This window comes from Homo sapiens, chromosome 19 (assembly GCF_000001405.40).
Source record: "Homo sapiens chromosome 19, GRCh38.p14 Primary Assembly".
In the NCBI taxonomy this organism is placed as follows: Eukaryota; Metazoa; Chordata; class Mammalia; order Primates; family Hominidae; genus Homo; species Homo sapiens.
The window spans coordinates 9,560,288-9,585,355 of NC_000019.10; the positions used below are offsets into that span (position 1 = coordinate 9,560,288).

At 42.2% G+C, this 25,068-nt stretch overlaps 1 protein-coding gene across 3 annotated transcripts, besides 4 other annotated features; it reads right to left on the bottom strand.

Moving 5' to 3' along the window:
* Positions 1–41: 41 nt before the first annotated feature.
* ZNF121 (zinc finger protein 121) lies at positions 42–24,217 on the bottom strand. 3 transcript variants are annotated; one of them, NM_001308269.3, is made up of 5 exons: positions 24,174–24,217; positions 8,715–8,795; positions 7,808–7,888; positions 7,361–7,418; positions 42–6,822 (listed from the first exon to the last, which is right to left on the bottom strand). In NM_001308269.3, the coding sequence occupies exons 4-5, from the start codon at positions 7,361–7,363 to the stop codon at positions 5,653–5,655; spliced, it is 1,173 nt and encodes a 390-aa protein (NP_001295198.1). In that variant the 5' UTR covers positions 7,364–7,418; positions 7,808–7,888; positions 8,715–8,795; positions 24,174–24,217; the 3' UTR covers positions 42–5,652. The 3 variants fall into 3 exon arrangements, with proteins under 3 accessions (NP_001295198.1, XP_016882728.1, NP_001008727.1); XM_017027239.2 differs by lacking the exon at positions 7,361–7,418 and adding an exon at positions 23,899–24,061; NM_001008727.5 differs by lacking the exon at positions 7,361–7,418.
* Positions 6,096–6,597: an enhancer, noted in NCBI's record as "NANOG hESC enhancer chr19:9677059-9677560 (GRCh37/hg19 assembly coordinates)". NCBI's record gives its function as "activates a minimal SCP1, AML or CMV promoter by ChIP-STARR-seq in primed H9 embryonic stem cells {active_cell/tissue: H9 hESC(primed)}" and the evidence as "EXISTENCE:reporter gene assay evidence [ECO:0000049][PMID:30033119]".
* Positions 21,355–22,168: an enhancer, noted in NCBI's record as "NANOG-H3K27ac hESC enhancer chr19:9692318-9693131 (GRCh37/hg19 assembly coordinates)". NCBI's record gives its function as "activates a minimal SCP1, AML or CMV promoter by ChIP-STARR-seq in naive H9 embryonic stem cells {active_cell/tissue: H9 hESC(naive)}" and the evidence as "EXISTENCE:reporter gene assay evidence [ECO:0000049][PMID:30033119]".
* Positions 22,169–22,981: an enhancer, noted in NCBI's record as "NANOG-H3K27ac hESC enhancer chr19:9693132-9693944 (GRCh37/hg19 assembly coordinates)". NCBI's record gives its function as "activates a minimal SCP1, AML or CMV promoter by ChIP-STARR-seq in naive H9 embryonic stem cells {active_cell/tissue: H9 hESC(naive)}" and the evidence as "EXISTENCE:reporter gene assay evidence [ECO:0000049][PMID:30033119]".
* Positions 23,796–24,607: an enhancer, noted in NCBI's record as "NANOG-H3K27ac-H3K4me1 hESC enhancer chr19:9694759-9695570 (GRCh37/hg19 assembly coordinates)". NCBI's record gives its function as "activates a minimal SCP1, AML or CMV promoter by ChIP-STARR-seq in primed H9 embryonic stem cells {active_cell/tissue: H9 hESC(primed)}" and the evidence as "EXISTENCE:reporter gene assay evidence [ECO:0000049][PMID:30033119]".

Below are 25,068 nucleotides of genomic sequence, written 5' to 3' on the forward strand. Positions count from 1 at the left end.
ATGAAGAGGGGGGTAAAAAGCACAAAATTGACCCAAGTAACTTCTTTTATTACAATTTTTATTGTGATAAAAACACATAAAATTTACCCTTTCACATACTTTGTGTGTACCGAAGAGTATTGTTAACTATAGGCATATTTTTATACAACAAATCTCAAAAAGCTTTTCCATCTTGCGTGGCTGACACTCAATACCCATTGAACAACTCATTTTCTCCTCCACCAGCTTGTGGCAAATACCGCAGTACTTTGTTCTTCTGAGTTTGACGTTAGATACCCCATATAAGTGGAAATGGGTGTATTTGTCCTTTCGGAACTGGTTTATTTCACTTAGCATAACGTCCATGTTGTAGCATATGGCAGAATTTTGTTTTTAAGGCTAAATGATATTGCATTGTATGTATATAATGCATTTTGTTTACCAATTCATCTGTCAATGGACATTTACTTTGCTTCCACCTCTTGGCTCTTCTGAATAATGCTGCAATGAACACAGGTAGGCATTCACACATTGAGATGCTTTCTTCAGTTCCTTTGGACATGTACCTAGAAGTGGATTGCTGCTGACCAAGTAAGTTTTAAACCTAGTGCTTTTATATTACGCCCTGAGCTAAAGATAAGAACTGTGAATAAAAACTGAATTCTGGTTAGTTGATTTTTAAAAAGAGTGGTATGAGTTATCAATTCTGAGAGTAGCTTATATTTTAATCTAGGATTGAGCACGTGCTATTTTTGCAAGTGATGAAAGATAGCTACAGACAAGGGAATTTGGAAAGCAAGAAATAACCCAGCAGTGCTGCAGTGGAATTAAAAGTGTTGGCTTGTGGTCATGTTTTTAATATAGAAATAGAGTTATTAATGTGTGGATACGTATATATAATTTTGTATGTCTTTGCCATATCCTCCATAGAGAAGACCTAAAAGCCAGGGCACTATTACCTAGGAACACCTCCCTACACAGAGACTGCAGCTTCTAAATAGTATTCTCCATTAAAATAAATTACATTTTTCTGAGTCTAGGGCTGGAGACAAATGTACCATGAACAAACTGTTGCCCAGAAAATAATTATATACCCATGAAATAAGGAGAATACATTTTTAAAGATTCAGAAGATAGCTTGATGGGGATCCTACTTATTGAATCTGGAAAAATATGTGCATCAAATTTACAGTAGCTAACTACACCCCATAGATTAAGAATTTATGATACATGCTCCTACAAGTAAATGGGTAAATAAATGAATAAGGATAACTCTTCCTTACAAAATTCCAGTTAAGAAATGTAGAAGAAACTATGGAATTAGAAAATCACTTTTTGGACTGGGTGTGGTGGCTCACACCTGTAATCCTGGCACTTTGGGAGGCTGAGGCAGGAGGACTGCTTGAGCCCAAGAGCTTGAGACCAGTCTGGGCAACATAGTGAGACCTCGGCTCTACGAATAAAAAAATTAAGTGGGTGCGTTAGCATGTGCCTGTGGTCCCAGGTACTCAGGAGACTCAGGTGGGAGGATCGCTTGAGCCCAGGAGGTCAAGGCTATAGTGAGGCATGATCATGCCACCGCACTCCACACCCTAGGCAACAGAGCAAGACCCCAATGCAGACCAAAAAGAAAAAAAAAAAAAAGGAAAAGAAAACCACCATTTGGAAACCACTACAGCAACAGCTACAGACATACCTCATGTTACTTCACTTTGCTTCATCTCACTTTACAGATATTTTTCACAAGTAGAAGTCCTGTGGCAATGTCATGTCGAATAAATCTATAACACCATTTTTTCCAACAGCATGTGCTTACTTTGTCTCTCACATCCTGACAATTCTGACAATATTTCAAACATTTTCCTTATTATTATACTTACTGTGGTGCTGTGTGATTTTTTTTTTTTTTTTTTTTTGAGAAGGAATCTCACTCTGTCACCTGGGCTGGAGTGCAGTGGTGTGATCTCAGCTCACTCTAACCTCCACCTCCTGGATTCAAGTGATTCTCCTGCCTCAGCCTCCTGAATAGCTGGGACTATAGGTGCCTGCCACCATGCCCGGCTAATTTTTTGTATTTTTAGTAGAGACGGGGTTTCACCATGGTGGCCAGGCTGGTCTCGAACTCCTGACCTCATGATTCACTCACCTCAGCCTCTCAAGGTGCTGGGATTACAGGTGTGAGCCACCGTGCCCGGCTGCTCTGTGATCTTTGATGTTCCTATTTTAATTGTTTTGGGGTACCACAAACCACAACCTTCGAAGACAGCAAACTTAACAAATGCTATGTTCTCACTGCTCCACCAACTGGCCACTCTCCCCTCTCTCCTCCTCTTCCCAGGCCTCCTAATTCCCTGAGGGACAATATTGAAATTAGGCCAATTCATTACCCCACAATGGCCTCTAACTGTTCAAGTGAAAGAAGGAGTTGCAAATTTCTCACTTTAGATCAAAAGCTGGAAATGATTAACCTCAGTGAGAAAGTCATGTCAAAAGCCAAGATAAGAGCCAGGTGCAGTGGCTCACACCTGTAATCCCAGAGTGTTGGGAGGCAGATAGGGGAGCATCACTTGAGGTTTTAAGTTCAAGATCAGCCGGGTAAACAGTAAAGTCCTGCCTCTTTAAAAAAAAAAAAAAAAAAAAAAAAAAATTAGCTGGCCATGGTGGTGCACACCTGCAGTCTTTAGCTACTCAGGAGACAGGAAGATCACTGGAACCCGTAAGTTTGAGGCTGCAATGGGCTATAACTGTACTACACTCCAGCCTGGGCAAAAGGGAGACCATGTCTCAAAAAAAAAAAAAAAAAAAAAACTGGGATAGGCCAAAATCTAGGCCTCTTGTGCCAGTTAGCCAAGTTGTGAATGTAAAGTTCTTGAAGGAAACTAAAAGTGCTACTCCAGTGAACACACACATAATAAGAAAGGAAAACAGCCTCACCACTAACACGGAATAAGTTTTAGTGGTCTGGATAGAAGATCAGACCAGCCACAACATTCCCTTAAGCCAAAACCTAATCCAGAGCAAGGCCCTAACTCTAATTCTATGAAGGCTGAGAGGTGAGTTAGCTGCAGAAGAAATGCTGGAAGCTGGCAAAGATCAGTTCGTGAGGTTTAACAAGTCATTTCCATAACATAAAAGTACAAAGTGAAGTAGCAATTGCTGATGTGGAATCTGCAGCAAGCATTTCCAGAATATCTAGATAAATGGCAGAGGTAGCTCTACTAGAGTTTTAACAGAGACAAAACAGCCTTACTTCAGGAGATGCCATTTAGGACTTTCACAGCTCTAGGTAAGCTAATATCTGACTTCAAAGATTCAAAGGACGGGCTGACTCTTTACTTTGTAGAGACAGCGTCACGCTCTGTTGTGCTGGCTGGTCTTGAACTCTTGACCTCAAGTGATCCTCCAACCTCAGCCTCCCAAAGCACTGGAATTACAGGTGTAAGCCACTTTTCCCAGCCTGGGCTGGCTTTCTTGTTAGAGGTCAATGCAGTTGGTGACTTTAAATGAATGCTAATATTCAATTACCATTCCAAAAATCCAAGAGCCAGTTAAGAATTATGCTACATCTACTCTTCCTGTGGTATCTATTTACATCTATTTACAGCATGGTTTACTGAATATTTTAAGCCCACTGTAAAACATACTGTTCAGAGATTCCTTTCAAAATATTACCACTGATAATGAACCTACTAACCAAGAGCTCTTATGGAGGTATAAACAAGATTGGCGTTTTCATGTCTGCTAACCGCAGCCCATGGATTCTGGAATAATTCTGACTTTCAAGTCTTATTATTTAAGAAATACATTTCATAAGGCTATAGCTGCCACTAATAATGCTTCTTCTGAGGGATCTGGATAAATTAAGTTGCAGACCTTGCAGAAAGGATTCTCCATTCTAGATGCCATTAACAACATTTATGATTCATGGAAGGAGGTCAAAATATCAACATTAAGGCAGGTGTGGTGGTGTGTGCCTGGAGTCTTGGCTACTCAGGAGGCATAGGAAGGAGGATCACTTGAGGCCAGGAGTTCAAGGCTACAGTGTGCTCTCATCGTGCTGGTGAATACCCACTTGTACTCCAGCATGAACAACACAGCGAGACCTTGTCTCTAAAAAAAATTTTTTTAATTAAAAAAATAAAAACCAACATTAACCAGAGTTTGGAAGAAGTTGATTCCAACCTTCATAGGTGACTCTGAGGGGTTCAAGTCTTCAGTGGAAAAAGTAACTGTGGATGTGATGGAAAAAAGAGAACTAGAATTAGAAGTGGAGCCTGAAGATGTGACAGAATTGTTTCAATCTCGTGAAAAAACTTGAACAGATGAGAGGCTGCTTTGTATAGATAAGCAAAGAAAGTGGTTTCCTGAAATGAAATCTACTCCTGAAGATGCTGTGAACATTGTTGAAAAGACAACAGACTTAGAATATTACATCAACTTAGTTGATCAAGCAGTGGCGAAGTTTGAGAGGATTAAGTCCAATTCTAAAAGAAGTTCCACTATGCGTAAAATGTTATCAAACAGCGTCGAATGCTAAAGAGAAGTTTTTCATGTAATGAAGAGTCAATCAATGCAGCAATCTTCACTGCTGTCTTATTTTAAGAAACTGCCACAGCCACCCTGATCAACAGCCATCAACACTGAGGCAAGACCTACCACAAGCAAAAAGATTACAACTCACCAAAGTCTCACATGATCATTAGCACTTTTTGGCAATAAAGTATTTTAAACTAAGGTACTTTACTTAGACATAACACAACTGCACACAAGAGACTACCATATGATGTAAACCTAACTTATATGCACTGGGAAACCAAAACATTTGTATGATTCATGTTATTGTGATATTCACTTTATAGTGGTAGTCTGGAACAAAACTCACAATATCTACAGGGCATGCCTGTATCTTGTATCAATAGGGTTTCTCTTCTCCATTGCAACATCTTATATACTTAGAAAGGCCTAAGGAAATAATGAGGGCTTTCTGTGTTTTCTACATTGTATGGCCCCATGGTGAGTTCTCAAATGTTGGATTGTGACCACAATCCAATCCCTTGAGAAAAGAATGTGTATTAACAACGACTTACAAAAAAAAAAAAAAAAAAAAAAAAAAAAAAAAAAGGCCAGGAGCAGTGGCTCACTCCTATAATCCCAGCACTTTGGGAGGCCAAGGCGGGTGGATCACCTGAGGTCAGGAGCTCGAGACCAGCCTGGCCAACATGGTGAAACCCCATCTCTACTAAAAATACAAAAATTAGCTGGGTGTGGTTGACGGCACCTGTAATCCAAGCTACTTGAAGGCTGAGGCAGAATCGCCTGAACCCAGGAGACAAAGGTTGCAGTGAGCTGGGATCATGCCATTGCACTCCAGCCTGTGTGATGACAACAGCAAAACTCTGTCTCAAATAAAATAAAATAAAATAAAATAAAATAAAATAAAATAAAATAAAATAATAAAAAAAGATTCCATTGGCTCCCTAACATTCCTAAAATTTATAGGGGACACATAGAGTATGAGTTCTTTCATGTCTTCGAAGTGAATGGGGATAACTGAAGGCCTCCTCACATTCTTTGTACCAATAAAATTTCTCTTCAGTGTGAATTCAAATGTGGTAATTATGGTATGAGAAATTCCTAAAAGATTTCCACATTCCTTACATTCAGAGTTTTTCTTCAGTGTGTTTTTAAATGTTTAGTAAGTAAATAAAATCTATTGTAGGCTTTCCCACATTCGTTACATATATAGGGTTTCTCTCCAGTGTGAATTCTAACATGTTTCTGTAGATGTGAAGAAGCACGGAAGGTTTTCCCACATTCCTTACATATATACGGTTTCTCTCCAGTGTGAGTTCTTATATGTTCAATGAGTTGTGAAGATGTAGCAAAGGCTTTCCCACAGTCCTTACATTCATAGGGCTTCTCTCCAGTATGGATTTTTACATGATTATGTAAGCTTGAGGAAACAGTGAATGCTTTCCCACACTCCTTACATTTATAGGGTTTTATTCCAGTGTGAATTCTAAAGTGATTCTTAAGGCATGAAGAGCTTCTGAAGGATTTTCCACATACCTTACATTCAAAGGGCTTCTCCTCTGTGTGAGTTTTAAAATGTTCAGTTAGTAGATAAAACCTATTGTAGGCTTTCCCACATTCGTTACATTCATAGGGCTTCTCTCCAGTGTGTATTCGTACATGTTTAGTAAGGCCTGAGCGCCCAGCGAAGGCTCTTCCACATTCCTTACATTGATAAGGTTTCTCTCCAGTATGAATTCTTACATGTTCAACTAGGTGTGAAGAAACAGTGAAGCATTTCCCACATTCCTTACATTCATAGGGTTTCTCCCCAGTATGGGTTCGCATGTGACTATTAAGATATGAAGAATATCTAAAGAATTTTCCACATTCCTTACATTCGTAGGGTTTTTCTACAGTATGCATTTTAACAGACACAGCATGGCTTGTGGAGTAAGTAAAAGCTCTCCCACATTGCTTCTGTTCATAGAGTGTTTCTCCATTGTGAGTTATCCTATTTGCCTGAAGATGTGACTGATCAACAAAGGCTTCCTCACAGTCACTGTATTCAAAGGATTTGTCTCCTATCCACGTTCTCTGGTGAACATTTGGTGGCAGGCTGAAGGCTTTTCTGCACTGATTCAACACAGAAAGTGTCTCTCCAGCAGGGGCACTGTTGTGTAACATGGGAAAGTTTTCTCCATACTCATCACAGTCATAAGTGTCCCCTGTATTTTCAGTTCCCATGTGTGCATTAAGGCATGAGTGTTCACTGAAGATTTCTCCATTTTCCATAAAGTCACAGAGTTCCCCTCCATTGTGGATTTCTGCCTGTTAATAAAGGGATGAATGATGATTAAAGGATTTTTCAGATTTATCAACAGATTTTACCCATCTGAAATCAGACAGTTTATTATGATTATAATTTTTGCCATTTTCATTACATGCATACAGTTGCTGCCCCATGTATTTCTTACAAGTTGAATGAAGAAAACCTACTGGCAAGAACCCTGTGCCATTTGCTCTAAGAACCTTGAAATAATTCCTGTATATTTTCATGAAATTGTTTTTATAATCTAGCTACATATGTGATAATTTGTACTTGTGAGAATGCTGAAGCACCAAGTTTTAAGATAGGATTAAGGTATCCCCAAATGCATTACATTTAGAGTATCCCTCTAGAGCAGAGGTCCCCAACCTTTTTGCTACCAGAGACTGATTTCGTAGATGACAATTTTTCCACAAACAGGGGTGGAATAGGGGTGGGATAGGGATGGTTTCAGCATGATTCAACAACATTACATTTACTGTGACTTTATTTCTATTATTATTACATTGTAATATATAATGAAATAATTATACAACTCACCATAAAATAGGATCAGCAGGAGGCCTGAGCTTGTTTTCCTGCAACTAGACAGTCCCATCTAGGTGATGGGAGACAGTGACAGATCATCAGTCTCATAAGGAGCACACAATCTAGAACCCTCGCATGGGTGGTTCACAGTAAGGTTTGTGCTTCTATGACAATCGAATGCTGCTACTGACAGGTGGAGTATATGACAGGCAGTAATACAAGCGATGGGGAATGGCTATACACACAGATGAAGTTTCGTTCATCTGCCACTTACCTCCTGCTGTGCAGCCCAGTTCCTAACACTAACAGAAACAGTACCAGTGGGGACCCTTGCTCTAGAGACATTCCTCCTGCTTGAGTAAATGTTACCTCTCTCAAATATCTCTCATTTTTGCTGATTTTTTATAATTGAATCCCAATCTTTTTTTGAGTGTGGTAAATAAGAAATCTTAATCTTACCATTTGTATGCCGTTTGATGTTTTGTTAAGCCAAAAAAAAATGTTGTTGAGGTGCTGACACTTTGGTTTTAACTTGCCATTCTGAAGTAAAACAGAAAAAAAGAAAAAAAAATAGGGTCTGAGAACAAAACAGTAGGTTAAATAAGTCAGAATTATAAAGCTCATTTTTATTTGTCATATTCAGCACACTCAAAAAAATTAAACAGACATAGATTTGAACAGTTTATCCATGACGAACATTTGGCAATCGTAAGGACTTGGGGTCTAAACTTAGTAATTTTTTTTTTTTTTGAGACAGAGTCTCGCTCTGTCACCCAGACTGGAGTGCTGGAGTGCAGTGGCATGATCTCGGCTCACTGCAACCTCCACCTCCTGGGTTCAAGCGATTCTCCTGCCTCAGCCTCCGAGTAGCTTGGATTACAGGTGCCCACCACCAGGCCCGGCTAATTTTTGTATTTTTAGTAGAGACGGGGTTTCTCCATGTTGGCCAGGCTGGTCTCAACTCCTGACCTCAAAAGATCCACCCGCCTCAGCCTCCCAAAGTGCTGGGATTACAGGCATAAGCCACCATGCCCAGCAATTTAGTAATTTTTTAAACAATTTATTCTATAGAAATTAAATGAGATAATGAACAGAAATAGTATTAGGGAAGGAAAATAGAAATGATCTGGATAAAGAGCACACATTAAAGTCATAAACAAAAAGATAAAAGAGCACTCATTTGCAAAATCACATGAAAGTCTGGGTTAGATGAAAAAGAGAGGAATATGGAAAGTTGAAGATACCCTAAAACTTCCAAGTCCAATGGCCCCATGTTCTGTGACAAAGTACATCTTTTAAATATATCTTCATTATGCTTCCAAACATACTGAACTTCTCATTGACCAGGAGTGTTCTTCATACTCACCTTGGGGAACTCCGGTTGGCAATGTGCTCAACTTTTCCTTCTCCTCCTCCAGTCAAGAGACAGACTGAGTTTGAATAGGTCCTGTACAGAGGGAAAGATACATCAATGGAAGAGGCTTATGAAGGAAATGACAAACGTAACCAAGAAAAAAACAACTATATTCCTAAAGAGAGTAGTGAAACTATTTTAAAAGAGCTCAAATTTCATATATCTCATCCTTTTGTGCCCTGAGGAGTTGGTTATCTCTGACCAAATACCCACTATTCAGACTTAAATACACATTTAAAAACCATTAAAGACTGGGCGCAGTGGCTCATGCCTGTAATCCCAGAACTTTGGGAGGCTGAGGTGGGAGAATCACCTGAGCCTGGGGAGGTTGAGGCTGCAGTGAGTCATGATTGCACCACTGTACTCCAACCTAGGTGACAAAGTGAGACCCTGTCTTAAAAAAAATAAAATAAAAACCATTAAAACGTGTATTCAAATAGGAAATAATCCAAGTGCAAAGAGAGATCATTATTTTGTTTTCTGGTTTTGTTTTTTTTTTTGAGACAGAGTCTCACTCTGTCACCCAGGCTGGAGTGCAATGGCACTGTCTCAACTCACTGCAACCTCCACCTCCCAGGTTCAAGTGATTCTCCTGCCTCAGCCTCGTGAGCAGCTGGGGTTACAGGCACCCACCATCAGGTCTGGCTAATTTTTTTGTATTTTTATAGAGACAGGGTTTCACCACATTGGCCAGGCTTGTCTTGAACTCCCGACCTCAGGTGATCCGCCCACCTCAGCCTCCCAAAGTGCTGGGATTGCAGGTGTGAGCCACCACGCCTGGCCGAGATCTTTTTTTTTTTTTTTTTTTTTACGATATCGTCAAAAGCTCGAATATTGTGTCTTTTGTAGCTTTTCTTATATCATGGGTAGTATTACATCTCTCTCTCTCTCTCTTTTTTTTCTTTTTGAGAGATTTTTGCTCTGTCCCCCAGGCTGGAGTGTAGTGGCACAATCTTCGCTCACTACAACCTCTGCCGCCGCCCACCCTAGTTCAAGCAATACAAAAATTAGCAGGGCGTGGTGGCACGTGCCTGTAGTCCCAACCACTCAGGAGGCTGAGGCAGGAGAATCGCTTTTACTCAGGAAGCAGAGGCTGCAGTGAGCCGAGATCATGCCACTGCACTCCAGGCTGGGCAACAGAGCAAGATTCCATCCAAAAACAAAAGAATCAGAGAGCTTCTTTAGGACACCCCTGAAATAAAGTTATTTCTTATGTTCTCAGGGCTGAAATTGTTATAATTAATGAGGCTCATATGCCAGAGCTTCCCTGGCATAATGTGAAGGAGGGAATCCTAGAGAGACAGGAGTGTTGCACTGGATTTACTATGTGTCATCTGTATAGCCCACTCCCCCGCCCTTTGTTGACAGAGCAGAAGACACTCTCTTCACAAAGGTTATTAAGAGAGTAGTGGCGGGAGTGTCGTAATCCTTGAAAAGCTCTGTTGGTATTCTCCTTCATAGGACAGGTATGACTGCAAAGAATACCATCACTGAGATGAGTTCCCTGGGTTTTTTTGTTTGTTTGTTTGTTTTTGAGACGGAGTTTTGCTCTTGTTGCCCAGGATGGAGTGCAATGACGCAGTCTAGGCTCACTGCAACCTCCGCCTCCTGGGTTAAAGCGATTCTCCTGCCTGAGCCTCCCAAGTAGCTGGGATTACAGGCACCTGCCACCACACTTGGCTAATTTTTTGCGAGGGGGGGGGGTATTTTTAGTACAGACGGGGTTTAACCATATTGGCCAGGATGGTCTAGAACTCCTGGCCTCAGGTGATCTGCCCGCCTCAGCCTCCCAAAGTGCTGGGATTACAGGCGTGAGCCACCGCACCCAGCCGAGTTCCCTGCTTTCAATCGAGATGAAGGGGACCCAGAATAGCAGAAATCAAGAAGGTAGTATTTAATCACCAAACACAAGGTGAGAAAATCAACTATCAAGGACAGTGGAAATGTACCAGTAATCAGAATGCCCTGACCTACAGAGATCTGTGGTGGTGGCTAACTGATCGTGCTGTCCCTAGAAATGAAATAGATAAGCAGTTAACAAAGCCTACTCTAAAGAGCCACAAAATATATGTTAGGCATTATGGGCCACATGGTCTCTGTTGCAGCTACTCAACTCTGCTGTTGTAGCATGGAAAATACCATAGAAAATGTAAACAAATGAACACGGTTGTGTTCTGATTAAACTTTATATACAAAAAACACATGGAGAGACAGATATGGCCCATGGGCCATAGTGTACCAATCTCTGTACTTGAATACTGCTCCATCTATGTAAAAAGTCTAAACTATAGTAGCCAAAAACTGGATTTATCCCAGTGGAGAATCATAACCTGTCACTCAATTACCACACTGAAATCATTCATAAATCATGAACTTAGGTGATCACTCCAATTACCGCCATTTTTCAAAATGTAATGCCTTTACTAGATAAATCAACATAATTTCTGTCACTTGGTATGCAGGCATTGACATAGCTAATGTCTTTTCTCCATACCAATTTGAAAAAAACAAGACTTGGTTACCTTTCACCTGGCAGGACCAACAATGTATCTTCATAACATTGCCCCTAGAATGTGTCAGTTCTCGAGGTCTCTGTCGTAACTTAATCCCCAGAGAAAATGACATTCCATGAAACACCACACTAGTACACTATGTTGACACCATTATACTGATCATATCCAATGAATAGGAAGTAGAAAACACATTTTTAAAAATTAGAGACAGGGTCTTACTCTGTCACCCAGGCTGGATTAGAGTGGCATGATCATAGCTCACTACAACTTCAAACTTCAAACTCCCGGGCTCAAGCAATCCTCCTGCCTCAGCCTCCCGAGTATGTGGGACTATAGGCACATACTACCATGCCTGGCTAATTGTTTTTCTTTTTCTTTTTACTATAGACATGAGGTTTCACTACGTTGCCCAGGCTAGTCTCAAACACCTGGTCTCAAGCAATCCTCCCACGTCAGCCTCCCAGTGTTAGGATTACGGGCATGAATCATTGTGCCCTGCCTGAAAATACCTTAGACAACTTTATTAGAAGCATGCAGCATTTACGGTTCCAAAATGGTAGTACAGAAGCAAGCTGGTTTCAATCCCCTGACAGAAAACTACAACCAAATGCATATTGTGAAAATTATCACCAGCAATATCCCTGATCTAAAATATAAAAATTAGGCAGTTTCTGGGGCTACAAAGAAGTGAAAAAACTCCAAGGGAGACGTTAAGAGAATCAAGTTTCCAAGAATGTGGAAAATTTCTACCAATTCACAGTTTCTACACTGGAAAAAACTGAGATCAATGTGGACAACCACCTTCTCCATCATCCTGGGTTCCCTGGTAAAAGATCAGTCCCTCCCTGTCTCAACCCACAGGAAGCATTACAAATGCCTGAAGGGAGAAACATCCCTGAGGACATCCAGGGACAAAGATGGGAGGCAGGACTACCATCCCAGCCCTGGAAACTCTGTTTTATAACTTGGCCAAAGGAGAAGCCAAGTCAGAGTGGCTGTTCAGGAGCACCATACTGTAGGGGTACGCTACACAGGTCACCTGGGCATGAACACACAGCCAGCCTTCCCACAGTGCTGGAATATGCCCTTTAGGACTCCCTCATTCTGAATGGGCAGTATTCTTGATAGTTTGCTATAGCAAAGGCAAACGTGGGTTTAAGATTCCATCTAGTGCTGAAAACGAGGCAGTGACCTAGGGAAATTTTAAAGAAAGAAAATCACTTTCGGAGGCTGAGACAGGCAGATCGCTTAAGCTCGAGTTCAAGACCAGCAACAAGATGAAAACCCATCTCTACTAAAAAGTACAAAAAGTAGCCAGGTGTGGTGGCGTGCACCTCACCTACTCAGGAGGCTGAGGTGGGAGGATTGCTTCAGCCTGGGAGGTAGAGGCTGCAGTAAGCCATGGTCACACCACGGCACTGCAACCTGGGTGACAGAGAGAGACCTTGTCTCAAAACAACAACAAAAAAGATAAAAAGAAAACATACCCAATAAAAACCACAAGCCAGACAAAGACTGTAATAAATAACTAATCCTTCAATGCACAGACACAGATGTACATCCACAAGAAACAACAGCAAATGGGGAACCACGACCTCCTAAAATGGACGAAAATAGTATCAGTGACTGAACCTAATGAAATGACAATATGTGAGCTCCCTAAGAATTCAAAATAACAGTTTTAAGGAAATTCAGTGATCTCCAAAATAACACAGAAGAGCAACTCAGAAATGTATCAGAAAAAACTTTAGAATATATTAACAACAACAAAAAAGAGAAATCTTACAACTGAGAAATACTCAACTCAAAAGTTCACGGTAGAGGCTCTCAACAGCAAGATGGATCAGAGGAAAGATTCACTGAGCTTGAAGAAAAGCTATTTGAAAATATAGCCAGAAGAGAAGAATGAAAAGGAACTAAGATTGTCGGCAAGATGCAGAAAATTACCTTGAAAGACCAAACCTAGGAATCACTGGTGTTCAAGAGGGAATGCAGCAAGTGCAAGGGGTAAGCTTTGAAAGCTTTATTAAGGAAATAACAAGATTCCAAAAATTGAGAAAAATATAAATATCCAGGTACAGGAAGGTAAGATGACACCAAACAGATTCAATCCAAATGAGACTACTACAAAGCATACAATCTTCAGACTCTCAAAGGTCAAGGACAAAGACAGGACCTTAAAAGCATTAAGAGAAAAGAAGCAAATAACATGAAGGACTCCAGCTGGTCTGGCAACAGGATTTCTCAAGGGAAACCACACACAGGCCAGAAGGGAGTAGGATGACATTTTCTTTCTTTTTTTGTGAGACGGTCTCACTCCGTTGCCCAGGCTGGAGTACCGTGGCACAATCATGGCTCAATGCAGCCTTTATCTCCCAGGATCAAGCCATACTCTCACATCAGCCTCCCAAGTAACTGTTACTACAAATGTGCACCACAATGCCTGGCTAATTTTTCTTTCTTTCTTTTTTTTTTTTTTTTGTAGAGACGGGGCTTCACCATGTTTGAAATGCTTGTTTCCCGGTGCCGTAAAGAAATAGCACTTGAACATAAATTTTATTTCTTTAGCAAGGCCATTTTAATTTATTTATACATTTTTTTGAGACAGAGTCTCATTCTGTCGCCCAGGCTGCAGTGCAATGGCGCGATCTCGGCTCACTGCAACCTCCGCCTCCCAGGTTCAAGCGATTCTCCTGCCTCAGCCTCCCTAGTACCTGGGATTACAGGCACATTCCAACATGCCCGGCTCATTTTTTGTATTTTTTGTTTTTTTAGTAGAGACAGGTTTTCATCGTGTTAGTCAGGATGGTCTCAATCTCCTGATCCCGTGATCTGCCCGCCTTGGCCTCCCAAAGTGCTAGGATTACAGGCACAAGCCACCGCGCCCGGCCCTAGCAAGGCCATTTTTACACTTTCTGCAGAAAGGGTACACTCCCCAGCAGATTTGCCATGAGAGTACACCGAACAAAGGAGACAGGTTCATTTATAACCTGACGCATCCACCCTACTGCTGTGTCCAGTTTCCACTGGCTGGAATGGAACCTCACATTTTGTACTTGTTTTGATTGGCTTAGAACTTTTTAAAAGGCGTAAAGGCAGAGGAGAAGAAAGGAAGGAGGAAGTAACTTGTGGAATGCTGAGAAAGGCAAAAACATCTTCAAATAAGGAATAGGAACAGGCTATGACCTAATGCTTGCTTGGACCAGTATAAGCATGCCAGGGCAAATATTTAGGCTAAATTGTGGGAGCTAAGAACATAAAGTACATTGATTTCTTTATTACAGCTAGCAGATATTTAAGTATGTTAACACAGGTCTTTGAATAAGTTTTGCTTCTAAAAAGAAGTTATTTATTCCTCATTAGATGGAAAAAAAAAAGTCTTTAAAGAAAAATGTCTACTTTACTTTTTACAACCAAGTTGCCCAGGCTGGTCTCAAAGTCCTGAGCTCAAGCAATCCACCAGGCTCAGCCTCACAAAGTGCTGGAATTACAGGCATGGGCCACCTTGCTTAGCTATGGGATGAAATTTTCAAAGTGCTGGAAGAAAAAAATTGATATCTAAGAATACCGTATTCAGGTCAGCACAATGTCTCATGCCTGAAATCACAACACTTTGGGAGGCTGAGGTGGGCGGATCACCTGACATCACGAGTTAGAGACCAGCGTGGTCAACATGGTGAAACCCAGTCTCTACTAAAAATTAAAAAAAAATTAGCCTGGTATGGTGGCACATGCCTGTAGTCCCAGCTACACTGGAGGCTGAGGCAGGAGAATCACTTGAACCCAGGAAGCGGAGGTTGCAGTTAGCCGATATTGTGCCACTGTACTCCAGCCTGGGCAACAGAGCAAGATTTCATTTCAAAAAAACAAAAACAAAAAGAGATAAAGAAGGTCTCTATAGCTGGGAGTAGTGGCTCACACCTGTAATCCCAGCACTCTGGGAAGGCTGAGATGGGCAGATCACGAGGTCAGAAGTTCAAGACCAGCCTGGCCAACATGGCAAAACTCCATCTCTACTAAAAATACAAAAATTAGCCGGGTGTGGTGGTGTGTGCCTGTAATACCAGCTACTCACGAGGCTGAGGCAGGAGAATTGCTTAAACCTGGGAGATGGAGGTTGCAGTGAGCTGAGATCACACCACTGCACTCCAGCCTGGGCAACAGAGCAAGACTCTGTCTCAAAAATAAAAAAAAAAGAAGGTCACTATATAATGATAAAGGGGTCAATTCAGCAGGAGGATATAACAACTGTCAATATTTATGCACCCAACACTGGAGCACCTAAGTATATAAAGCAAACATTAATAAATCTAAAGGGAGATACACACTGCAGTGCAGTAATAATAGTAGGGGATTTCAACACCCCACTCTCGGTAATGGACAGATCATCCAGCTAGAAAATCAACAAAGAAACACAGAAGAAGTTAAGCAATAAACTAAACCAAAAAGGCCTAACACAGGACATTTTATCCAACTGCTACAGAAGATACATTCCTTTCCTCAGCATATGGAATATTCTCCAGAACAGGCCATATCTTAGGCCACAAAAAAAAGTCACAACAAATTCAAAAATGTAGAAATCATATCATCTTTTCTGACCACAAGGGAATAAAACTAGAAATCACTAACAAGAGGAACCTTGATTCACAGGCTCAAAGTGGTGGCTCATGCCTATAATCCCGGCACTTTGGGAGGCCAACATGGGGAGACTGCTTGCACCCAGGACTTTGAGACCACCCTGGGCAACACAAGGAGACCCTGTCCCTTCAAAAAAAAAAAAAATTACACAACGGAACATTGTTTTGGTACGTTGACATATCAAAATCCATGGTACAAAAGCACACAGAAATTTGGAAATTAAAATATTTCTTGAAACAAATTAAAGTGAAACTACAACATACCAAAATCTATGGGATAAAAGCAGTACTAAGGGAGTATTTTACAGCAATAAACACGTACATACAAAAAGTAGAAAGATTTAAAATAACCGAATGATACCCTTAAGATACTAGAAAAGCAAAAACAAATCAGACTCACAATTAAATCAAAAGGATAAAGACCACAGCCAAAATAAACAAAATTGAGAATAAAAAACAATACAGAATATTAATAAAACATAAAGTTGATTACTTGAAAAGATAAACAAAATCAACCAACCTTTGGCTAGACTAAGGGGAAAAAAAGGACCCAAATAAAATAAAAAATGAAAAAAGAAAACAGAACAGAAACCACAGAAATACAACCAATCATTAGAAACTATTACAAAAAACTATATGCCAACAAATTGATAAGCCTGGAAGAAATGGACAAATTATTGGGCGCATACAACCTACCATGATTGAACCATGAACAAACAGAAAACCTCAACACACCAATAACAAGATTGAAGCCGTAACAAAATGAATCCCATCAAAGAAAAGCCCAGAAACTGATGGCTTCACTGCTAAATCCTACCAAAAACTGAAAGAATAACAATACAACTCGAATTCCTCAAAAAAAATTGAAGAGAAGAGAATATTTCCAAACTTGGTCTACAAAGTGAGCATTATTCTCATATCAAAAGCAGAGAAGAGCACAACAGCAACAAAACTACAGGCCAGGCTGGGTGCAGTGGCTCACGCCCGTAATTCCAGCACTTTGGGAGGCTGAGGCGGGTGGATCACCTTAAGTTAGGAGTTTGAGACCAGCCTGGCCAATATGGTGAAATCCTGTCTCTACTAAAAAAAAACACAAAAGTTAGCTGGGAGTGGAGGCATGTGCGCCTGTAGTCCCTGCTACTAAGGAGGCTGAGGCAGGAGAATCACTTGAACCCGGGAGGCGGAGGTTGCCGTGAGCCAAGACTGAGCCATTGCACTTCAGCCTGGGCAACAGAGCAAGACTCCGTCTCAAAAAAGAAAAATAAAGAAAAAGAAAAAAAAAAGTAACCAAAAATGTGAAGGAGCTATGCAAGGAAAACTATAAAACACTGATGAAACAAACTGTAGAGGATACAGAAAAAAAATGGGAAGATATTCCATGCTCATGGATTAGAATATTGTTAAAATGACAATACTACCCAAAGCAATTTACAATTCAGGGCAACCCTTCTCAAAATACCAGTGAAATTCGTCACAAAAAGAGAAAAAAAATCCTAAAATGTATATGCAATCACAAAAGACCTCAAACAGCCAAAGAAATACTGACCAAAAAAAACGAAGCTGGAGTGGCCAGGTGCAGTGGCTCACACCTGTAATCCCAGCACTTTGGGAGGCCGAGGCAGGTGGATCATTAGGTCAGGAGTTCAAGACCAGCCTGGCCAACATGATGAAACCCCGTCTCTACTAAAAATACAAAAATTAGCCAGCTGTGGGCCGGGCGTGGTGGCTCACGCCTGTAATCCCAGCACTCTGGGAGGCCAAGGTGGGCAGACCACGAGGTCAGGAGATCAAGACCATCCCGGCTAACATGGTGAAATCCCATCTCTACTAAAAAAAAAAATACAAAAAAAAAAAAAAATTAGCCTGGCGTGGTGCCTGTAGTCCCAGTGGTGGGTGCCTGTAGTCCCAGCTACTCAGAAGGCTGAGGCAGGAGAATGGTGTGAACCCAAGAGGTGGAACTTGCAGTGAGCCGGAACTTGCAGTGAGCCCAGATCACACCACTGCATTCCAGCCTGAGTGACAGAACGAGACTCCACCTCAAAAAATTAGCCAGACATGGTGGTGCGTGCCTGTAGTCCCAGCTACTAGGGAGGCTGAGGCAGGAGAATTCCTTGAACCTGGGAGACAGAGGTTGCAGTGAGCCGAGGTCGCACCACTGCACTCCAGCCTGGGAGACAGAGCGAGACTTAGTCTCAAAAAAAAAAAGAAGGAAAGAAAAAGCTGGAAGCATCAAACTGCCTGATATCAAAATATTCTACAAAGCTACCATAGCCAAATCAGCATGGTACTGACATAAAAACAAACACATAGATCTATGGAAGAGAACAGAGAACCTAAATATAAATCTACACATTTATAGACAGTTCATTTTCAACAAAGGCACCAAAAGCATACAATGGGAAAATAGCAGTCTTCAATAAGTGCTGCTGGGAAAACTGAATAACGATATGCAGAATGAACTAGATGCCATCTCTCAGCATAAACAAAATCAAAACAGATTAAAGACATCTAACACCTGAAACTATAAAGCTACTAGAGGAAGAAACTGGGGAAACAATCCAGGACATTGGTCTGGGTAAAGATTTCTTGGGTAAGACCTCAACAGCACAGGCAACAGGAGCAAAAATAAACATATGAGATTACATCAAACTAAAAACTTCTCCACAGCAAAACAATCAACAAACTGAAGAGACAATCTAGAGTATGGGAAAAAAATATTTACAAACTATCCACCTGACAAAGATTAGTAATCAAAATATATAAGGAACTCAACTTGATAGCAAAAAAAAAAAAAAAAAAAATCCGATCAAAAAATTGGCCAAAGGTCAGAATACTTGTTTCTCAAAAAACGACATACAAATGGCCAACAGGTATACGGAAAAAATGCTCAACATGGCTAAACATCAAAGAAATACAAATCACACATTACCACAATGAGATGTCATCTCACCTCATAGGGTGGCTTTTATAGACAGGGAATAACAAATACTGATGAGGATGTGGTGAAAAGATAATCCTTGTATGCAGTTGATGGGAATGTAAATTAGTACAGCCACTATAGAGAACAATACTCAGGTGTAGTGGCTCATGCCTGTAATCCCAAAACTTGAGGCTGTGGTGGGAGGATCACTTGAGCCCAGAAGTTCGAGCCAGCCTGGACAACACAGGAAGACCTGTCTGCACACATATGCACACATAAAACCTGTCAGTCACAGTGGCTCATGCCTGTAATCCCAGCTCTTTAGGAGCCCAAGGCAGGTGAATCACTTGAGGTCAGGAGTTCGAGACCAGCCTGGCCAACATGGCGAAACTCCATCTCTACTGAAAATACAAAAATTAGCTGGGAATTGTGGCGTGCGCCTGTAGTCCCAGGCAGGAGAATCACTTGAACCCAGGAGGTGGAGGTTACAGTGAGCCGAGATCATGCCACTGCATTCCAGCCTGGGCAACAGTGAGACTCCGTCTCTAGAAAAAAAAGAGAGGTTGATTCATGGGTAAAATACACAGTTAGAAGAAATAAGAACTAGTGTTCAATAGATCAGTAGGGTGACTACATTTAACACTCATCTATTGTACATTTCAAAACAGCTAAGAGAATAACTTGATTTTCCTGCAATAAAGAAAGGATAAATATTTAAGGTGACAGATATTCTACTTACCCTGATTTGATAATATAAATGCATCAAATTATCACATGTACTCAGAAAACATGTACGTCTATTATGAATCAAAAAACTTTTTTTGAATTTTCAAATAGAGGGTGGGAGATTCTGGGGCCACCATGTCTGTGGGTAAAGATATTCCCTTGTCAGCCAGGCGCGGGTGGCTCACACCTGTTATCCCAGCACTTTGGGAGGCTGAGACGGGCGGATCACGACGTCAGGAGATTGAGACCATCCTGGCTAACACGGTGAAACCTCGTCAATACTAAAAATACAAAAAATTAGCCGGGCGTGTTGGCGGGCACCTGTAGTCCCAGCTACTCAGGAGGCTGAGGCAGGAGAATGGCGTGAACTCGGGAGGCAGAGTTTGCAGTAAGCCCAGTTTGTGCCACTGCACTCCAGCCTGGGTGACAGAGAAAAACTAGTCTCAAAAAGAAAAAAAGAAAAAAAAAAAGATAGATATTCCCTTGTCTGGATCATGTAAAGACATTCCCTACAAAAAGACATTCCCTGCAAGATGTCCCTCCAAGTTACTTCACCTAATACCACCTACCACTAAAAACGAGCAATGAGCCATGATTATGCCATTGCCCTCCAGCCTGGGTGATCCAGCAAGACTCAAAAAAGAAAAAAAAAAAAACTCAGTATGGGGGTTTCTCAAAAAACTAAAAATAGAACTGTCAATAGAGCTACCACCCGTAAACCTCTTGAATTTTGGAGGCAACATATACATTTGTATGTGCTTTAACGCCCCACACAGTTGCCTGTAAGGATTCTAGTTTCAACTGTAGACAAGAGCAATTTCAGGCTGCACTGCAGGCTTCCCAAGCACTTGGTCCACCTGATCCAGCAGACCCAATGATACTCAACGTGTCCATGTTAAATGGCATCCTATTTATTGGAAGCCTCTGGCATACACCAACAGAAGATGTAGAGTAGAGGCCTCTGGTATTCCATAGTCAATCCATGCCCTCTTGTGCAGATTAACTGTTTCTCTTTTGAGAAACAGGTTGTGGTTTGCCACTACCATGCGATAGAGAATGAACAACTAATCATGGGACATGAAGTAACTAAGGCAGATCTGAGTAATTTGAGACTTTCTGGTCCCCAAAGCACGAAGTACATACTGTCAGCCCTTATCAAACAAAGGTTGTCAGCTTCTCCTTTAGGCCAAAAACCCCGAGTTTGTAGGAAATCGCATGAAATAAAGGAATATTTACACACACCATGAGAATCCAATCAGAAATATCTGATTGTATGACTTTCTAAGAGAATGAGTGTTAGGAATAACGCTCAAAATCCTAAGGAAATTGAACACTCGAACAAAGGATTCTTAGCAAAGCAATTTTACTTCTGTGCAGAGGGGTGCCTCCTTGACCAGTTGCCATGAGAGCACACCTGAACAAAGGGGCATGAGAGCCTTTACTCCTGATGCAAGTCCTGCCCCTGTACCCTTTCCCTATTGGCCGGGGTCAGGTCGTACAATCTAAACTAATCCCGGTTGGTGAAACACCTGATTTTTTTTAGATAGGGTGGGCACGTAGAAGAAAAGTGGAGAGGAAGGGGAAGGGATGTCTGTAGTGAGCTAGAAAGTCCTCTTTCTAAGTAAGGAAAGGTATGTGAGCTGGTACTGATAACGCTTTGTACTGTGGCATGCCTGGGCATCTAACAAAGGCAAAAAGGAGAAAAAAGGAGAAAAAGGGGGGGTACTATGAATTAGAGAATAAAAGATTGATGAGATTATTTGAAGAGAAACCTCATCATATCCTCATATCCCACAGTGTGACTCTCCAAAAGTCAATATAATATACAATAATAACTGTTCTAGGTAAAAAGACACTGAAAACATTAACAATTGCAATGTAAAAATCTTGAATGGATCTTAAACCCAAAAACATCCAAGAGCATACGTTGAATCAATGCGGAGAATTTTAGTTATTATAAAAAGCAGACATTAGATGACATTATTATTTTTTATTTAAGTGAAATACTAGTATTGTGGTTTCAGAATGACAGTGCTATTTTTTTAGGCGATGCATTACCAAGTATTTAAAGGTCAAGTATCACGTGTGCAATTATGCTCAATTTACACTCAAATTGTTCACCATAAAATGTATTTACCTGAGGTGAAAGAAAACAAGCACAATGCTCAAAAAGTAAGTGTTCAGGCACAGTGGCTCACACCTGTAATCCCAGCATTTTGGGAGGCCGAAGCAGGTGAACTGCCTGAGCTCAGGATTTCGAGACCAGCCTGGCCAACATGGTGAAACCTTGTCTCTACTAAAATACAAAAAAAAATTAGCTGGGCATGGCGGCATGTGCCTGTGTCCCAGCTACTAGGTGTCAGGCCTCTGAGCCGAAGCCAAGCCATCAGACTCCCTGTGACCTGCACGTATACATCCAGATGGCCTGAAGCAACTGAAGAACAACAAGAAGAAGCGAAAATAGCTAGTTCCTGCCTTAACTGATGACATTCCACCATTGTGATTTGTTCCTGCCCCAACCTAACTGATCAATTGACCTTGTGACATTCCTTCTCCTGGACAATGAATCTCAGGAGCTCCCCACTGAGCACCTTGTGATCCCCGCCCCTGCCCGCAAGAGAACAACCTCCTTTAACTGTAATTTTCCACTATCTACCCAAATCCTATAAAACTGCCCGACCCCTATCTCCCTTTGCTGACTCCTTTTCTGAACTCAGTCTGCCTGCACCCAGGTGATTAAAAGCTTTATTGCTCATACAAAGCCTGTTTGGTGGTCTCTTCACATGGACGCACCTAATGCTAGGGAGGCAGGAGAATTACTTGAACCTGGGAGGCAGAGGTTGCAGTGAGCCGAGATCGCACCTCTGCACCCCGACCCGGGTAGCAGAGCGAGACTCTGTCTCAAAAAAAAAAAAAAAAAAACTACTAGACTGGGTGTGTTAGATGTTCAAGTTTTCCCTAGGATCAAATTTTTCAGAAAAAAATGTCAAAACTACACTTAGTCTAAACATGCTGTTAATAAATTCAATAGATACTACTTTATTACACTAATACTAGAATAATATTCTGATTATAAAGCCTCCATCCTGGCCAGGAGCGGAGGCTCACGCCTGTAATCCCAGCTCTTTGGGAGGCCGTCAGGCGGATTACAAGGTCAGGAGTTCGAGACCAGCCTGGCGAGCATGGTGAAACCCTGTCTCCACTAAAAATACAAAAAAAAAAAATTAGCTGGGCATGGTCCCCATGCCTGTTGTCCCTGCTACTCGGAGGCTGAGGCAGGAGAATCACTTGAACCCAGGAGGTGGAGGTTGCAGTGAGCTGAGATCGCGCCACTGCACTCCAGCCTGGGCGACAGAGCAAGACTCCGTCTGAAAAAAACAAACAAAAGCCTCCATCCTTTCTTCCTGTGGGCCCGTTTTGAAGCTCTGTGGGGGGGTACAGACCTAGGAACTTCAGATAAAGACAACAGCTGTGTATTATTGCCTTTCTTTCTTTTTTGAGACGGAGTTTCGCTCTCATCGCCCAGGCTGGAGTGCAGTGGCAGATCTCGGCTCACTGCAACCTCGGCCTCTCAGGTTCAAGCAATCCTCCTGCCTCAGCCTCCCAAGTAGCTAGGATTACAGGGGACTGCCACCAAGCCTGGCTTTTTTTTTTTTTTTTTTTTTTTTGTGTGTGTGAGACGGAGTCTCCCTCTTTTGCCCAGGCTGGAGTGCAGTGGCGCGATCTCGGCTCACTGCAAGCTCCGCCTCCCGGGTTCACGCCATTCTCCTGCCTCAGCCTCCCGAGTAGCTGGGACTACAGGCGCCCGCCATCGCGCCTGGCTAATTTTTTGTATTTTTAGTAGAGACAGGGTTTCACCATGTTGGCCAGGCTGGTCTCGAACTCCTGACCTCAGGTGATCTGCCCGCCTCGACCTCCCAAATGGCTGGGACTACAGGCGTGAGCCAGCGCGCCCAGCCTGCCTTTCTTTTGTAGAAAGGCTTGTAGCTGGTAACAACAAAAAACATTAAGTCCAAGAAAATAAAATAAGAAACTAAAGGCTCACAGTCTACACGTGTTCATATTTACATGCAGATATAGGCACACCCTAAACGACTATTTTTTTTCCATCAGAAAGTAATGTGTCAAAAATAAGAATAGGACATCAATGCCAGATTCTCAGACGAGACATTTTTAAGCAAAGAAATGGAAGTCAGAGCCCTCTTGAAACCAATTTTCTGCAGGTGTTCACCAGGAACATGCCGGAAACGCCAGGTTCCTGAGGCGCGGAAATGCGGGGCCGGAGCCAACCTGACTGGAACGGCAGAAATCCTTTTACTTTCAGAAAGAAAGAAACTCACAAAGGTTGCTTTCCAAGCTTTTGAAGAAGGGAGCACAGCGGATGAAACCACTCCAGAAAACGCGCGGAGTCGGGACAAACACACTTCCCGACCTGGCTCCTGACTGGGACCCACTGAGCCTGCGGCCTCTAGCCACTGGCCGCGCAAGGAGGACCGACAGCCCCTGGAGAAGAGAGTGAAACGAGGCGGATCGGAGAGGCTCCTGGGCGACAGCACCCAATCGTTCCTTTGCCGCCCCCCGCTATCTCCGGGATCCCCAAGCAGGCGGAACTCACCACAGCCAGGGTGGACTCCACCACGATAAAGGCGAAATGGCACTGACCATGCGGAGCCAGCGCCGGAAAAGATGGCGATTGTGCGCTGACGTCACTTCCGCTCCGAGCCTCGGGCCGGGCGGGGCTCCTGGGTTCGAGTTTCAGCCACATAGGACCCAGTCAAACACAGAAATTGTAGTTTCTTCCCGGGTGGGCGCGGACAGGCCCTTACTTGGGGGCGGTTTAGAGGTGGGACCCGGCTAGCCGGCGGTTCAGGTGGCCGGACCTGCTGGAAGGGCGGGCGTGGGGGATGGGACGCACCCCAGGGGATGCTCCTGCAGAGCTTTTCCCAGGTGGGCACAGTGGCTAAGGCCTGTAAGTCCAACACTTTGGGAGGCTAAGGCAGGTGGATAGCTTGAGTCCAAGAGTTCAAGACCAGCGTGGGCAAAATAGCAACATCCTTTATTAAAATATATATGTGTGTATACATATATATAAAGCTTGTTTGTATACATCTCATGTTCCTAGAGCCTTTCCATGATTCTTCCATATGGATAAAGCTGCCAGTGAATGGCATGGTCTATCTCTTCTATTCAGTCAGGCTTTCTGTAGGCCTTTATTTCTTCATTCTTTATTTTTTAGAACCTGCTGGTTCCATTGCGTTTTCTTTTTTCGTTTTTCTTTTTCATTTTTTATTTTTTTTTGAGACAGATCTCACTCTGTTGCCCAGGCTGGAGTGCAGTGGCATGACCTCGGCTCACTGTAACCTCTGCCCCCCGGGTTCAAGTGATTCTCCTGCCTCAACCTCCCGAGTAGCTGGGATTACAGATGTCTGCCTCCACGCCCAGCTAATTTTTGTACTTTTAGTAGAGAAGAGTTTCACCATGATGGCCAGACTGATCTCGAACTCCTGACC